Raw genomic sequence first — 16,293 nt, forward strand, 5'->3', positions numbered from 1 at the left:
AATTATTAGCTATTTTCATGCTTTCCCTAAGAAATTAAAAGCTGGCCAGCATGGTGGTTCACACCTGTAATCCCAGAAGCTTGGGAGGCAGAGGCGGGTGAATCACTTGAGGTCAGGAATTCAAGATCAGCCTGGCCAACACAGTGAAATCCCGTCTCTATGAAAAATACAAAAATTTGCCTGGCGGCTGGGCGTGGTGGCTCACGCCTGTAATCCCAGTGCTTTGGGAGGCCAAGACGGGTGGATCACGAGATCAGGAGATTGAGAGCATCCTGGCTAGCATGGTGAAACTCCGTCTACACTAAAAATACAAAAAATTAGTGGGGTGTGGTAGTGGGTGCCTGTAGTCTCAGCAACTCAGGAGGCTGAGGCAGGAGAATAGCGTGAACCCGGGAGGTGGAGCTTGCAGTGAGCTGAGATCGCGCCACTGCACTCCAGCCTGGGTGACAGAGTAAGACTCTGTCTCAAAACAAACAAACAAACAAAAAAATTCACCTGGTGCGGTGGTGGTGGTGGTGCTTGCCTGTAGTCCCAGCTACTCAGGAGGCTGAGGCAGGATAATCGCTTGAACTTGGGAGGTGGAGGTGCAGTGAGCCAAGACTGCGCCACTGCACTGTAGCCTTGGTGACAAAGTGAAATTCCATCTCAAAAAACCCTGGATCTCAAATCCAACATTAATACCATCTTTCATTTAAGTAGCATTTTATAGTTTATATACTTCTACCATTTTCTTTAAAAAAACAAAACAAAACAAAAAAAACTATGTAGCACAGGCAGAGTAGGTATCATGCCCCAGTTACAGATGAAACCAAATTGAAGAGCAAGTTAAATGCCTTTCGCAAATAGCAAATGGCAAAGCTACAATACTTATAACTATACCTACAAACTTTCACCATTCCTTTTCCTTAGAGCTCTTATGCTAAAAACTTGGGTCAATATTAGTATGTAATTTTTAAGAAAGATGGTTAATTAAATCGATGAGGCTTTTTTTTGTTGTTGCTGTCATAAAAGTGGAGATAACATGATGTATTAGTCCGCTTTCATGCTGCTGACAAAGACATACCCAAGACTGGGTAATTTATAAAGAAAAAGGTTTAATGGACTCACAGTTCCACGTGGCTGGGGAGGCCTCATAACCATGGCAAAAGGTGAAAGGCATGTCTTACATGGACACAGGCAAGAGAGAAAATGAGAACCAAGAGAAAGGGGTTTCCTCTTATAAAACCATCAGATCTTGTGAGACTTACTTATTCACTACCATGAGAACAGTGGGGGAAACTGCTCCCATGATTCAATTATTTTCCACTGGGTCCCTCCCACAACACATGGGAATTATGGGAGCTACAATTCAAGATGAGATTTGGGTGAGGAAAGAGCTAAACCGTATCACCTGAGTTAGATCTCAAGGGTTCTTTTGAGGAGCAAATAACATATGCAGCATACATAGCTCAATGTCCAGTCCAAATGTTATTTAGGCCTCTGTCCTCACTGACTGTGACAGGGCTCTCTTCTAAGCTTGATAACCTCTACCCTTAGAGCACTGAGTATCATCTGAAATTACAAATTCTCAGATAGTATAGGCAAATTTATTTCTATGGTAGAAGCATTTATTTCAGATATAGAAAAATAACACTATTTCAAAGTCAGAGTAAGTAAACAGAAGTATATTTTTTCCTTGCATACCCATCCTCAAATGTCAACACACAGTTTCCAGCCATTCTTACAAGGAACAAATGCAAAATTAAAGTAATAACTGTCAACAGAAGAGCTGTATTAAAGCTACGTATCAACCTTGAAAATCAGAAAACACAAAGTGATCTAGTGCAGTGATTCTCAACTTTAGTGTGTATCAGAATCACTTGGATTGTGGAAAAAGCACCTTCAGAGAGCTGAAGGAAAATCATCAGGTCAAGCAAGCCCTTGGTCTCAGAATAAATATCAAAGAGACTAAAGATACGTGCTTTGTTCCTCAGGGAAGAGGGAAGGACAAAATATACTACAATATAGAAGATCAGCCATTTACTCTGTGTCACTTCTCTGAGCTTCACATTCAGAAATAACGACAGATACAACTCTCAAGAATTGTTCTACATATTAGGTTAGATAGTGTAATAAGTGCTTCTCCAATCCATAATACATACCTACTATCATTATTTCAACATCATTATTATTTGATACGGAGTACATCTTCCCCACCTACCCCCTACTCCCAAATGGCTGCTATTACTTATTTTAAAAGTCAAACAATCAGTCATTGGGTTCAAGCTCATGGACTACAAGTACCATTTTTATACTGGTATCATTTTTACTAGCTTCAACTATTCACTTATAAGATTTCAGTACATTACTGAAATGACATTTTTGTACCCAAACTAAGACAATGACTGAAAGAAAAGGAACTAAAGCTTTAAAATTGCGTCTTGCTTCTAAAGCATTAATAGTGAGAAAAAGAATTCTTTTCAAAGTGACCCATTTTAGAAAATTTCTGATGTTCTCTGTATTGTTTTCTGAATCTGAGAAGGCTATTTATAGATGGAAACATGGGAATAAAATACCTATAATCTTCATCACTTCCTATATTCAATATACTACACAGTAACATTTCATAGTTAAAGTTTTTGGCCATTTAAGTACCTACCCACATAAATATCTGAGGTTTTAATATTCTAAAACTATAAAACATAGCTATAGAGGTACACAGTTAGGCTAGGACAGGGTTTCTCAACCTCAGGACTAATGATATTTTGGGTTGGAAAATTCTTTACTGAGTGTGGGGGGGTGTTGAGGAGGTATGCATTGCACAGTAGCAACCTTTTCCCCACCCCAGTTTTGACAACCCAACATGTCTCCAGACATCACCAAATTGGTCTTCTGAAGGCCAAAATCTACCCCAGATGAGAACTTCTGGGCTAGAATTTTATATGGACATAATTGTAAACTCTGGGTACACAGACAATACAAGACTCTATGTAATATTATAAGGTAAAGAGTCCAGCACAGTAAGTTTCTGCTATACTGTTTACGCTAGGGCACAGCTTTTATATACTACTTAGGCATACAGTTATCCACATATAACTTTTTCCTACTGAACACTGACATTAGACAAGAAACCACAGCTAATCCAGCAACCATCATTATATCACCTGATATGAGAAAAATCTAGAGTTTTCAAACATTTGCTAAATGGAAGCCTGGAAAAATCACTGCAAGTGTCCTTCTTTCTGAATTCGAAGTCTGTCTTTCTCTACCTGTAAGCGTTCCTTTTCAATCTGCAGCTTCTCAGATTCAAACTTCAAAAACTGCAGCCTATCCTTTTCCAGTTGCAAGCGTTCTCGCTCAAGTTTTAACTTCTCTGTTTCTATGTCCTGTGGTTGAAGCATGGATTTTTCTCCTTGACCAAGTTCATTTTCCAAGGACGGTTTCTCTGAATTGACTATCTGTAACCTCAACTTTTCTCTTTCAATCTGCAGCCGCTCCTTCTCTAGCTGAAGCCGCTCATGTTCCATGTCTAAATGCCGCAGCCTCTCTTTCTCGATTTGTAGGCGTTCCTTTTCTACCTGCAGCCTTTCGGCCTCGATATCCAGTCGTCGTTTTTCCAACTCTAGTTTCTGTTTCTCAATATTTACGAGCAAATGAGGCTCATCATATGCAGATCTAGATGGTGTTGAGTTAAGGGTAAAAAACTCATCAATGTGGGGGAAATCGGGAAGTTCATTTTCTCTCCTGGAATCTGGTATGACGGATGACAACATTTCTTCCTCCTCCTCAATTTCAAACTAAGAGCAAAGAGAAAAGCAATTTTCAGTATTGACTTCTACTTTGTGGCAATTTGTCTAAATATTTCTTAAAAGCTTTCTGCGTCGTTTGGGGAAAAATACTTAATTTGAATTTTGAATATCATTTACACTGAATTACTTGATGTCTGTAATACATATAACCTAGGTAATTATATTTAGGTGGGAAGAAAAGTATTAACGATGTAAAGAGAAAAGCAGAATGACTTGTTATGTACTATTTTTAAATAAGCTTGAAAATCTTGGAATGTGTTAACAGTTCCTGAACAATAATCTCCCACATCAGAATTGAAAAGATTAAAAGAGGGTACAGAGGCTAATACTTACTTCAGGACTCTGCGGATCCCTTTCTTCCTCTTCCACCTTGACCTCAGTTAAGGATCCACCTGCATCCCTGAAATCTGCCACATTTTGCCAGTCAAAATTTGCATCATTTCGGAATCCAATCTTTTCATCTATCTCTTCAGTGAGAGAGTCATCCAAATCAGAGGAGGGAAGGGGAAATCCTGAACCAACCAGCTTAATGTTGGCCTTCATCCTCTTTCTCTTCATAAGTGCTCGCCAGTCAAGGTACCTTCTTTTCACCTCTGTCCCTGTCCTCTGTTCTCCTTCTCCTACAGCATTCACACACTGTGCAATCTCTTCCCAAGCCATTCGCTTCATCACATTAATTGTTGTATTGAGCTGCTTGGAAAAAATGACTTCTTTCCTTTTCGTAATTTCTTTCAAAAGGGTCTGAGTTTCTTGAACACTAAAATTGCTTTTCCTTTTTCTTTTCAACTGCTTCATTTTCAATTTCAATGCAGTTTTTATGGTAAGAGATGTGAAAACAATTTGAGGAATGCTGCAAAGCACAAAAACCAGGGATAATTCTTTGCTGGCCCTTAGTTCAAATCATTGTCTTCCATTCATCTAGTGGCAAGGCAGTCTGGATAATTCCTAAAAGGAAAAAAGTACAAGCAATCAATCAATCTGCAACTTCTACAACATACTTCAACCTAATGAACTATATAATTTTTAAGAGAAACAAAAAACAACCCTCTAAATATAGCTTAAAATTGTGTACTTCTTTATCTTTGCCAGTACTAACATAGTCCAAATTGCCGTTTTCTCCCCACTGGTGTGCTGCAAAGGTTCCTAACCAGTTGCCACTATTCATTCCTGACTCCCTTCCTACTACTTCAGCTCCTTCTCCCACAAATTCTCCCTCTCTCCTCCAATTGCACTGGCCATCTTTCAGCCACCTATTCCTGTCAAACTCTTTCTTAGTTCAGGGCCTTTGTCCACACTGTTCCTTCTGCCTGGAAAATGGATTGCTCCCTTCTCGGTCTATTTTATTCCTCCTCGGTCTACTTTATTCCTCCTCATCCTTTAGCTTGCAGATTAAGCATCCGTTTCTCAGGGAAGCCTTTCCTGACAAATCAAATTACTCCAGCATAAAATTTGCAGGACTCTTCCTAGACTGGATTTTATACTTGTGCTAACATACAGCTCAGAGTCTGTCCTTTCCCCAGTTCACTGCAAAGTTTCACAAGGGCAGGGATGTTTCCACTGGCCATCACCTCCCCAGAGCCTAGCAGAGATTCTGGCACATGGCATGCATACCATAAATATGTTTTGAATGAATGAAAGAGTCGATTTGCCAAAATAATCATTAGTTTGAGATATCTAAAAGAAAAAGTACACTTTGCAGAATAATTTTAGAGAAAAACTGAAAGGCTGAGCTGCAAAATCAATAAAACTCAGAAACCAATTTGAGACAATGTAATCTGATCAAATAAATGCCAACTACCTACATTTTACTACTTCACAAATTCAAACTCATTTTAAGGTTAATAAACCAACACAGAAATCCTAAATTTCGAATATAATTTCCTGAAACAATGAAAGTATTGTAGGAATATGACAAAATTAAAGGGGTAACAAAAAAATGGCAAGGATTTTACCCAGCCATCCCACCTAATTAATCATGTAAGTAAAAAGATCAACAAAAAAGATCAACAAAAAAAGATAACCAAAAAAAAAAAAAAATGATCACTCAAAAAGAAAAAGGAAAATATCACCAAAAAAATTTTTTAGATTCCTAAACCTTTCAAAGACTAGTGCACATTGCATGGTTTGCCCTTGTAATTCTGTTCCTCAAAGCTCACCCCATCCTCCCCTCCCTTAAACCACCAAACAAAAGCCCCTAACATCAAACAAAACCAGGCTGGACTATATTTTTGTTTCTAATTAAGGCTCTTAATTATGTGCCTTTCTTTGGAGAATTTCTCAGCAGTACTTTGTATTTTTCTGGGCCACTTTAATTGTAGAGTTGAAGAGCACAATAGGAAAGTACGTATACTTGGAGTCTCCATTAAATAAATTTTAAAATATCCATGTGGCAATATTTGTATACAGATTTTGAGTGGAAAAGATCCTCTCTTGTAAGCATTTCTTTTAGATACGAGACAATGTTTCTCCAATTTCCAGAATCTCAGGTTGTCAGACTGTCAAAGAGGGTGTACCTGAAACTTGTCAGAAATGTAAACTTTTTAGGCTCCTCTCCAGACTGGGAACTCTCGAAGTGGGACCTAGCAATCTGTGTTTCAATAAACCCTCCAGATAACTCTAATGCACAGTAAAACGTCTGTGCTAGACCCACACTAGTAGAACAGATGATTCACATGCCTCACTCTCTTATCTACCTTGAATTCAAGCCTTACATAAGTGCATCTGGTGGAATCTAAAGCACATCCACAATCCTCACTGCAATGGATTGGGGAAGTGTAGTTTTTGTGCTAGCTAGCCTTTGCATTATCAGAAGGCATACTAGGAGGCTGGAACAGATGGTGAGTGAGTCAGGGACTCGATTGTCTCATAGCGGCAGAAAATGAGGTCATCTACCAAAAAGGTCCCAGTGTCTCACACAGTATAGTACATATTGCTTTATTAATATTGATTCAACTGAGGAGAATAATAATGATTCAACTGAGGGATAGATGTCAAAAAAGCACTTTGACTTGGAAAAGAGATTTTAAAAGATGTAAGGGGAAACAGGGCTCAGAAAGAGTAAGGGGTACCTTACACAGACCATGCTGTCTGACTTCAAATTCACTCACTGATAACTGCTACAGAGCTGACTTTTCCTCCCCTACAAAATGTGAAATGGGATGACATTACTAAGATCCCTTCCAGCTCTATCACTGTTTGACCTTAAACTTTTCCTGTCAATATGAAAAAAAGTATCAAACTATCCATGAAGTTCCAAATCCTGTCATTTAAACCCCATCATAACATTAAATGGGAGATACCAGCCTTTCTATTTATAAAACAAGATCCAGAGAGGTTAATTTGCCCACAACACAGCTAGTTAAATGGCAAGACTTACTACCACCAGGTTCCCTCACGTCACATGTACTTTGACTTTATTAGCAGCTTGTGATAGCTAAACCTTAAAAATGTGTTGTTGCCCAGGCGCGGTGGCTCATGCCTGTAATCCTAGCACTTTGGGAGGCTGAGGCGGGCGGATTGCCTGAGCTCAGAAGTTCAAGACCAGCCTGGGCAGCATGGCAAAACCCCGTATCTACTAAAAATACAAAAAATTAGCTGGGCATGGTGGTGCACACCTATAATCCCAGCTACTCAGGAGGCTGAGGCATGAGAATCGCTTGAACCCAGTAGGTGGAGGTTGCAGTGAGCCGAGATTGTGCCACTGCACCCCAACCTGGGGGAAACAGTGAGACTTTGTCTCAAACAACAACAACAACAAAAAAGTGTTGCTAAGGTAAGTTTTGAGATGTCATTTAGTAAAAGATTTTCAAAAGGAGACTCTTACCTATGTGGAAGGTCCAGATAAAATTCTTTCAATCGGTTACATTTCCTCTACCTCCTGTTAAAGTAAATTAGACCGGAGACCTGGCCTGAAGAATCCCTAAGCAGACAAAACCAGTTAGGCCTCATAAGAGACTTTAACCTTGCTTCATTTGCAAACATATGCAACACTTAACTTGGGCTATTTTTTTGGTAAATATCGATATTTTTTAAAAAAGAAACTTAAGACTAAGCAATCAGAAGCTGTCAGCTAACTTATGCAACTAACTTATGTAACCTTCCAGCAGGATAGGTCAAATTAGACAATCTTATAACTGTAACCAATCAAATATTTACTTTGTTTTACTTCTGTTAGACCTATAAAGCCTCCCCGCTTTGTGTTTCCACTGCAGAGCCCCCAAACCACTTCTGGTTTGGAGCTGCCTGATTCAAGAATCACTGTTTGCTCAAATAAACTTGTTAAAAGTTATCATGTCTCAGTTTACCTTTTAACACATGGTTTCTTTTCTCTTACTCTGTCTGCCAATTTAAACTTTTCATTAGTGTGAAAAATAGTTCTACTCTAATTCACAATACAAATAGTATCTTCTACTGAAGCAAAAATATAGCAATTAAGCAAGGCTAAATTGAATAAGAAAATGCACATCTTTTCTATCATCTTTTCTCTTTTAGACTGAAAAGTGGATGCTAATACCTTATTTTTAAACTTAATAACAAAGCATTTCTTATCACCATTGCATTAAACCTTTATGCATTTTTCCTTTTCAAGCTCTTGGTATTCTTTCTTCAGCTGACTTTGTACGTGTCTAATAACATCAACAAATATATGCCCATCACCACATCTTTGTTTCCAATCACTCATGTGGAATAACCATCTCCTGAACTGCCACTTGCTGCTGAAATAGAGGTCAGAAAACTAAAAATTCAAAACAGCTGAAATGAACTCTCAAGAAATCACTGTCAATTTCACATACCCACAAAAAAGGGCAACGTATGCAAAAACAAAAGAAAAGAAGACTGCAAGCCAACTATTTCTAAAGTAGACTTATAGACTTTGAAAATTTCTCAAGAGAAATTTAATAATAAAATTGAAATCCACAAAATTGGAATGTATAACCAACAATAGCACTCTTGATACTGCCCTAGAGATATACTCCTCTTACAGTCAAATGTAAACCTTTATCCTCTAGAATATAAGCAAATAATATAAGCAAAGTTTATCTATAAATAGAAACATCAAAAGAGGTAGTGTGTGTAGTAGTTATGAGCACAGATTCTGGAGTCAGACCACCCGGGTTAGAGTCCTGGCTCTGGCAATTCCTAGCTGTGTGGCCTCAGTTACTTAACTTCCCTATGCGTAATTTTATTTGTAAAATGATAATAACATTACTTCATAGAAATCCTATAAGGATTAAAGGACTTAGTCAAACAAAGAGAACAGTTCCTGGTGCACATTAAGCACTATTATGTATTTGCCACATCAAAGGCAAAACATTTAAATAACTTTGACAAAAGGAAACAAAAATGTCACAATAATATTGGAATTGTTTAGTTCCTAAGTTGAGGGATAGGTCCCATGGGTCTTTATTATTATGCTTCATAACATATATACTTACATTAGGAGTGTGGTGGAACCTGCCCATGAGAGCTCTCAAGAATCAATTGCGGACATCTCTTTGCAACTCCACATTCAGCCATGTCATGTTAGGAGCTAAAAATTGGCCAAGACGGCACTTACTAATACTACAGAATTGTCAAATTAGAACTTTTTTTTTTTTTTGAGTGGGCAGAGAGCTGCTTTATTAGAACACTCCAGCTATATTATTTTTGTGTAAATCAAATATTATCTAATAAATAAAAGAAAATGAAATGTTTTAACATCTGATTCCAAGGCAGTTTAGTGAACACTGTAGAATGCTTATAATTTTATTTTATTTTTAGAGACAGGGTCTCACTCTGTTCCCCAGACTGGAGTACAGTGGCTCAATCATAATTCATTGCACCCTCAAACTCCTGAGCCCCAGTGATCTTCCCGCCTCAGCTTCCTGAGTAGCAAGGCAGGTGCACCACCATGTACTACTAATTTTTAAAGCTTTTATATAGACAAGGTCTTGCTATGTTGTCCAGGCTGGTCTTGAACTTTTTGCCTCAGGTGATCCTCCTGCCTTAGCCTCCTAAAGTGCTAGGATTACAGGTGTGAGCCACCATGCTGAGCCTAGAACACTTAAATAATTTTAGAGGATCACATTTAATTAATACTCTGGCCTAACATTCCTATGTAATTCAAATTATCCAATAGCTTGGGCAAGCATTCAGCTTTCCTCTAGAGGTGACTAAAAATATTCATGAGGTACCATGTTTATAAGCCACAATATAAAAAACTGAAGCAAAGTGATTTACACACATCATTAAACCAGCCCCAATATGCTGCTTCTTAGTACCCTATGTTGCAGGACAAGTGAAAGAATTATTGGTCAAAACTTGGCTTTTTCCTTCTACAATCTGCCCCACCTCTAAGGACCTAGGAGATAGTCGCCCATCTGCTCTAAAAACAGGATCTTCAATACCTGGCACTGTGCCTAACAAATAGGAGGAGGTAAAAATATGAACTCAAAACAAGAAAATGATAAAGGGATGGGAAAGGGTATAGAAAGAGAAACAGAAACTAATTCAAGGAAAGTAAGTCAGGAAAACTGAAGTTTCCATAGGCACACAAAGCATATGCTTATAAGAAAACAGAAGCAAGTCAACATAGGCAAGAAGCAGTTAGCCTGTAAGTGAAGAACAGATGTCCACCCTATAACTACACTAAACAATGAGACAGTTAACAGGTTATTCAAAATTCTGAAGAAAAATCTTCAGCTAACAGGCTATATTGCTAGTCAGGCATATTGACCAACCATAAATAGGTTATCAAGGACATTAAAAAAAATAAAATCAGCACATTTTATGTCCTCAAAAAACAGAACAGAGAGCCAAAGATATATCACATCCCACCAAATCAAATGCCTACATGTGATAAAGATAAATTTTGGTTTCCAAAATACACAGAATGTTTCAGAGCATTTACATAGCCTTTTGAGCCATTTAAAAATCACTATCACATTTTTAAGGTAAAAGCATGGTAAAAATAGAAATATTTATCAAAAGGGGACTGGATGAATAAACTATTAAGTCACATAATGGAATATATGCAATAAATGTCATGTTAGAGTATGGATGTCTTAGCACATAATCCCCACGTAGATGCTATAGTTGATGCAAGCCAACAAAATTGGCAAAGGAAATGCATCTGTCTGTGTGTGTACATGTTCACAGATCAACTTAGGAACATTCGCAGACACAGAACATCCTATGCTCTACAACAGGTTCATTAACTCTGTCTACCACCAACCTGGGGATCATGTGCACAGTCATTTCTGTCTCAGCCATATGGCTGCTTCTTAGCCCACAGCACATTTATTTTATTTTACTTTGAGGTGATCAACATTATATTAAAAATCTACTTATAAGAAATTTTTATTATAGAGAACTACATTATTTAAAGTCCCATTTTTTTAAAACAGCAAAATATACATATAGTTAGAAAATCTAAATAAGAATGTAAATTCACAATGAAGTGAAAAATTTCTACCACCAATGTAACTACTATTAGCAATTTCTTGAAATTCTTTCCAGAAAAATCGTTTATAATAGTATGTAAATATTTATGGACAAATTATATGTATTACATGAATACATACTAATTCCATCACATACATTAAAAAGCTATGTCTGTTGAAAATGTTAAGCGATAAAAAAATTTAAGAGAATTTACTGAAAACAGAGAAATGACGTGCATATGAATGATTCTAAATGACAAATGAAGAGCCGAAGTTGGAATCCACAGTGAAAAATAATAAGAAATGAAGAAAAATTATACAATTGAAAAACATTTTTTAGATGTTGCTAGAGCTGTGTCTCTCAAACTATAGCATGTATATGAATCACCTGGGAACCCCATTAAAATGCAGACTCTGATTCAGGTCTGCGGTGGGGCCTGGGATTCTACATTTTTGACAAATGACGTCCTCGGACCGCATCTTGAGTAGCAACAGTCTAGGCTAGAGTGGCACTGTTCAATAGAAATACAATGTAATCTACACACGTAATTTAAAATTTCCTAGTGATCCCAGTGAAGTAAAAATGAAATGAAAAGGTGATTAATATTAACAGCTTTTATTTCACTCCATATGCTGTATAGTCAATATATTATTTCAATATGCAATAATATAAAAATTATCAATGAGAAATTTTCCATTGTTTTCTTTCGCTGTCATTAGAATACAATGTGTACTTTACAGTTACAACATACCTCATTTTGTATTAGTCACATTTCAAGAACCCAATAGAACATGTATTTAGTAGCTAATCTACTCAAAAGTGTAGGTCTATAGCACATCAAAATAACCTAAAGAGCTTTTAAAAATACCTATAACCAGTTCCCATCTCTGACCAATTAAAACAATCTTTGGAATGGGGCCGGGCATTCAGAGTTTAAAAGCTCTCCAAGTGCTTCTCATTTGCAGCCAGGATTGAGAACCACCCAACTAGAGAATCAATGTTAAGAGTTTACTTGGTGAAATATGTACAGAAAGGCAAGGCAGAGAGCAAATGGTGTAGCTCCTAAGAAACTTCCTTTAGGAGATTATTAAGAAAAGACCTCATCTGCCACAAAAGACTTAAAATACAGACAAAGCTGGTTTATTTATGGAAAAATATGCCCAAGAGAATGTTATGTCAAATGCAAGAAGAATATGCTAGTTGTAGGACCAATTCACACTCCTATTTGTTGGAAACACATCAAAAGAATGAATGAAAGCTTAGGTGATTTAGATATAAGAAGAAAAGGACTGCTCTCTTGAGAACCAAATTTTCTTCTAAGTAGAATGTCTTTAGACCCCTATCCATATCTCCATTAGGAAAAATTATGACTGAATTAGTAGTATAAATCAGGAACATGCATTATTAGATGAATTAATTAGGACACTGTGTCATTCAATAGGTATATACTGAGTGTTTAAAACCTTTCAAGGCTTTCCATTGCACTTAAGAGGTAAGTTTACTTCCCTTGCTCTTCCTCTCTTCCTATTGTAAACCCTATCTGAACCCTACCTTTACACTTTCCCATCTACCTTTTCTGGTCTTATCCATCACCTCCAGTACCAACTCCCAACCTACTTTCCCAATCCACCTTCCTCATCAAACATGTACTCACATGTAGGTGGCACACAAACACAATACCAGTCATTTTCAAATCCCTCTAAATTCTAGATCAGTGCTGTCCAATAGAAATGTAAGAGCCCTATATGTAATTTTAAATCCCCAAGTAGCCACATTAAAACGGTAAAAAGAAACAGGTAAAAGTGAGTATTTTATTTAACCCAATATATCCAAAATGTTATTTTGAAATATAATCAATATAAACAATTATTGAGATATTTACATTCAATAATGTAAGGCTACTGGCTACCATACTGGAACAGCACAACTCAAGCCATCATGGTCCCTGACCTTGGACTATCACACATATATTTCCCCAGGTCATCTTCCCCATTTCCATGGTGTCTGCCTTTTCGTCAGGCCAATGCCTACTCATCCTTCAGCACTCTTGTTTAAATGTCTTCTGTTCCAGGATCTCTTCACTGTTCCCATTCACCTAAGTCTGATGTCCTCCCTATGTGCTTCCACTATCAGCTTTATTACACCACTGATTTACATTAGGAGCAATAAGAGATCAGATACGAATATATTATTCCTGCTATCAAATAATTTGCAACTTAGTAAAACACAGATGCATAAAAAAAGTACATAAACAAATTGTAATGAAGTCTGTAACCTGAAGGTTGTGAATACAGACTACCTAAGGCTGTATGCCAATTCCACCACTTAACTAGCTCTGTGATCTCCAGCGAATTACTTAACCTCTTAAACTTGTTTCTTCATCTATAAATGGGAATAATAGACTAATACTCGTGATGTTTTGAAGATTAAAAGAGATAAACCGATTAAGAAGTTTATCATGCCTAAGACATAGTAAGCCCACAAATGTCAGCTATTATCCATTGCCCAGTACAGTATCTGAATGTAATTAACAAATATTTCTTCACTGGATGAATAATGCAAATATACAAAAACTACAATAAAGAAATACTAACAAAATACTCTGGATATTCATAAGAAAGACAAATCTTTGATGGGATCAAGGAATGTTTTGAGTCAGAATCAGCATTTGATTTGGGTCTTATAAAACAGACTAATGAGGGACAGAAATAAAAGAAAGAAGTATCAGGAATTAAAGCTGGAAAATTAGGATAGTGCCAAGCAGCAAATCTTACTAAGCGAATTCTGGCTTAATAAGACTATTATTTGCTAAAAATGAACTGAAAGAGACAAATATAACTGTGAAAGTTTTTTGAAATTCAAGCAGGCTACCATTAATATGGAAGAACTGTTACTGTAGTAACATATAAATATATAACCAATATAAGTATATAATAAAAATGATTGAAGTTGTCGAGAGTCCAAATTTATGCAGATATCCACCGTAAGATTTTGCTCTTAGAATCTGAGATCAATTTAGAAATCGCATTGTTGTAAATGTATTGGTACATGGTAGAAATAGCAGTCCTTTTGAAGTACCACTGAGTCAATATATTTTTAAAGTTTGACAGCAGCTGTTGCTATTTGCAGGGCCTATTTTTGACCAACAATTCCTAACTCCATATCTCTAACTTACAAAGTGGTATCCCGTTGTCCTGACTGATCTATTCTGAACTGATGAACTATTTCATTTAATCAAATGGGCTTTAATACATTTTTAACCTGACTGAAATTGATATTGGGATGCACCTTAGATACCCAGTCTTGGCTTAATTGTGTGAAAATCTTCTTCTAAAACCTTGATATTTTCTGATTAAGTGCAAGAAAGTGCCAGCATTGATGCATCTTGAGTTGTTGAAGTTCTGTAGATATGCTTACCTGGATAAAAGCCATTTCCAGAAATGTTTGTCTTCCTGTCCTCTCCTTTATATGCCGGTATCCAAGTAACAGAAGCTTGGGTTTTCTACCATCCATTCATTCCCCAATAATTTCCTCAAAAAATACTTACTGAGCTCCTACTGTGTGAAAGGCACTATTTTTGGTGCTGGGGATATAACACCTCATAAAATGTGAAAATATGTCATTTTAGATGTCAAACACTATCCCTTTTCTATTGCCTGTCATCGCTCTCTTAGCAGAAAGGATTCAACAGCTGCAGTCTCTAAAACTTACAAACCTTCTATGCCCAATCACAGAGAACAGCCATTTTCTAAAATCCCATTTCACAATCGTTCTTCACTAGTTGGAAACAGGAATGAGATGTAGTTCACTTACGTAATCCTTGTGAAGATGATGTACTGCCAATGGCATAATATAACCAGGCAACTTTTTACAAGCACTAAAACTTGAGAATGAAGTTCCTAGATACTTCATGATAAGTCAGAATTAAGAAGTCTGAGAAAAACCAGACGGCAAGTTCCGGATCAAAAAAATTTGAGGGTAAATTAGTTAAGCAGTTCAAGAAGAAAAGCATCACAAATCTACAATATCAAACCCTACCCAAATTCTCTTTAAAGTGTGGCTTTCCCCTCCCCTATATTCTTATAGGGGATTCACTTCCCTGCCAAAAAGTATGTTCTTCTCTAAAACTCGTGGTAGGTGCATAACAAGTATACTTATGGGTCGACGGTTATCAAAGTATCTTTCACCTCCCTCCCGCTGCCTCCTTTGGGACCGTCCAAAAAGAGCCCCTGGGAAGAATCGAGTTAGACTGGGCTCCCGGAAGGCCACCCAGGGGAGCAGGGGCGCGCACCTGCCTCGGCCACAATGATGAGGTTGCTGCTGGTAGGAGTCCCGGTGGGAGTCGGGGCAACCTGGAAGATCTCCTCTCTCTGGGTATTAAATGAGAGTCCCGACTGAGTGCCCAGAAACTTCTGCAGTCTTGTTTCCGTGGCCTGGGCCCTCCCCAGCCTCCCCGGTCAGGCGACAGACGCGCGTGGCACTTCTCCCGAGCGTGCAGTCCCGCTACGTCGCAGCCCTTGGACCAAACCCGGCAGCAAGCGTTGCGCCAATTGCCGCTGACCCCTCCGGGACCCTACCCACTGCGAGGGCACCCACTGGTCACGGAGCCGCCGCTTCCCTGGCCGCCTCCTCCAGCATAGAACCGCTCACCTGCGACCCCGGCGGCACCTCCCCACGGTCGCCCCAAGGGGGGTAGGAAAAAAGATGCTTCATTGATCCCCCGCCCACTAACTGGGCCCGCCCATCTCCCGCCACCCCAATGGCTCATATGGCTGCCGCTCATTTGATGAGTCTCATCCATTGGTTAGAATGGTGTAGCCATTCTGGCTGAGAGCCCGCCCTAGGCCTGGCCTCACAATGGGAATCAAGTCCCAAACCGGTTCCGGGTTAGTGCCCTGGAATTCCGCCCCCTCGTGATTCACCTCCCTGTCTGTGCCCCGTCTGTGGCGCGCAGCTCTGTCAGTCAAGTGGACTCTAGGAAGGGATTGGCCCCTAGAGATCCGCTTGCTGCGCTGTTCCAACTGATTGGGGCACTGGCCGCTGCATCTCCAAACTCGTCTCTTGTCCTTGACCCTCACCTGTT

At 38.4% G+C, this 16,293-nt stretch overlaps 1 protein-coding gene across 9 annotated transcripts, besides 2 other annotated features; it reads right to left on the bottom strand.

Moving 5' to 3' along the window:
• Positions 1–1,564: 1,564 nt before the first annotated feature.
• MSANTD4 (Myb/SANT DNA binding domain containing 4 with coiled-coils) lies at positions 1,565–15,953 on the bottom strand. Of its 9 annotated transcripts, none has more exons than XM_047427709.1 (4): positions 15,861–15,953; positions 7,612–7,707; positions 4,122–4,733; positions 1,565–3,776 (listed from the first exon to the last, which is right to left on the bottom strand). In XM_047427709.1, the coding sequence occupies exons 3-4, from the start codon at positions 4,581–4,583 to the stop codon at positions 3,201–3,203; spliced, it is 1,038 nt and encodes a 345-aa protein (XP_047283665.1). In that variant the 5' UTR covers positions 4,584–4,733; positions 7,612–7,707; positions 15,861–15,953; the 3' UTR covers positions 1,565–3,200. The 9 variants fall into 9 exon arrangements, with proteins under 9 accessions (XP_047283665.1, XP_016873905.1, XP_011541324.1 ...); XM_017018416.2 differs by having other exon boundaries at positions 15,502–15,953; XM_011543022.4 differs by having other exon boundaries at positions 14,628–15,906.
• Positions 15,428–15,547: an enhancer, noted in NCBI's record as "active region_5463". NCBI's record gives its function as "activates an Ori minimal core promoter by ATAC-STARR-seq in GM12878 lymphoblastoid cells {active_cell/tissue: GM12878}" and the evidence as "EXISTENCE:reporter gene assay evidence [ECO:0000049][PMID:35858748]".
• Positions 15,878–15,987: a silencer, noted in NCBI's record as "silent region_3868". NCBI's record gives its function as "represses an Ori minimal core promoter by ATAC-STARR-seq in GM12878 lymphoblastoid cells {active_cell/tissue: GM12878}" and the evidence as "EXISTENCE:reporter gene assay evidence [ECO:0000049][PMID:35858748]".

The sequence above is a fragment of the Homo sapiens genome, chromosome 11 (genome assembly GCF_000001405.40).
Source record: "Homo sapiens chromosome 11, GRCh38.p14 Primary Assembly".
Classification (NCBI taxonomy): Eukaryota; Metazoa; Chordata; class Mammalia; order Primates; family Hominidae; genus Homo; species Homo sapiens.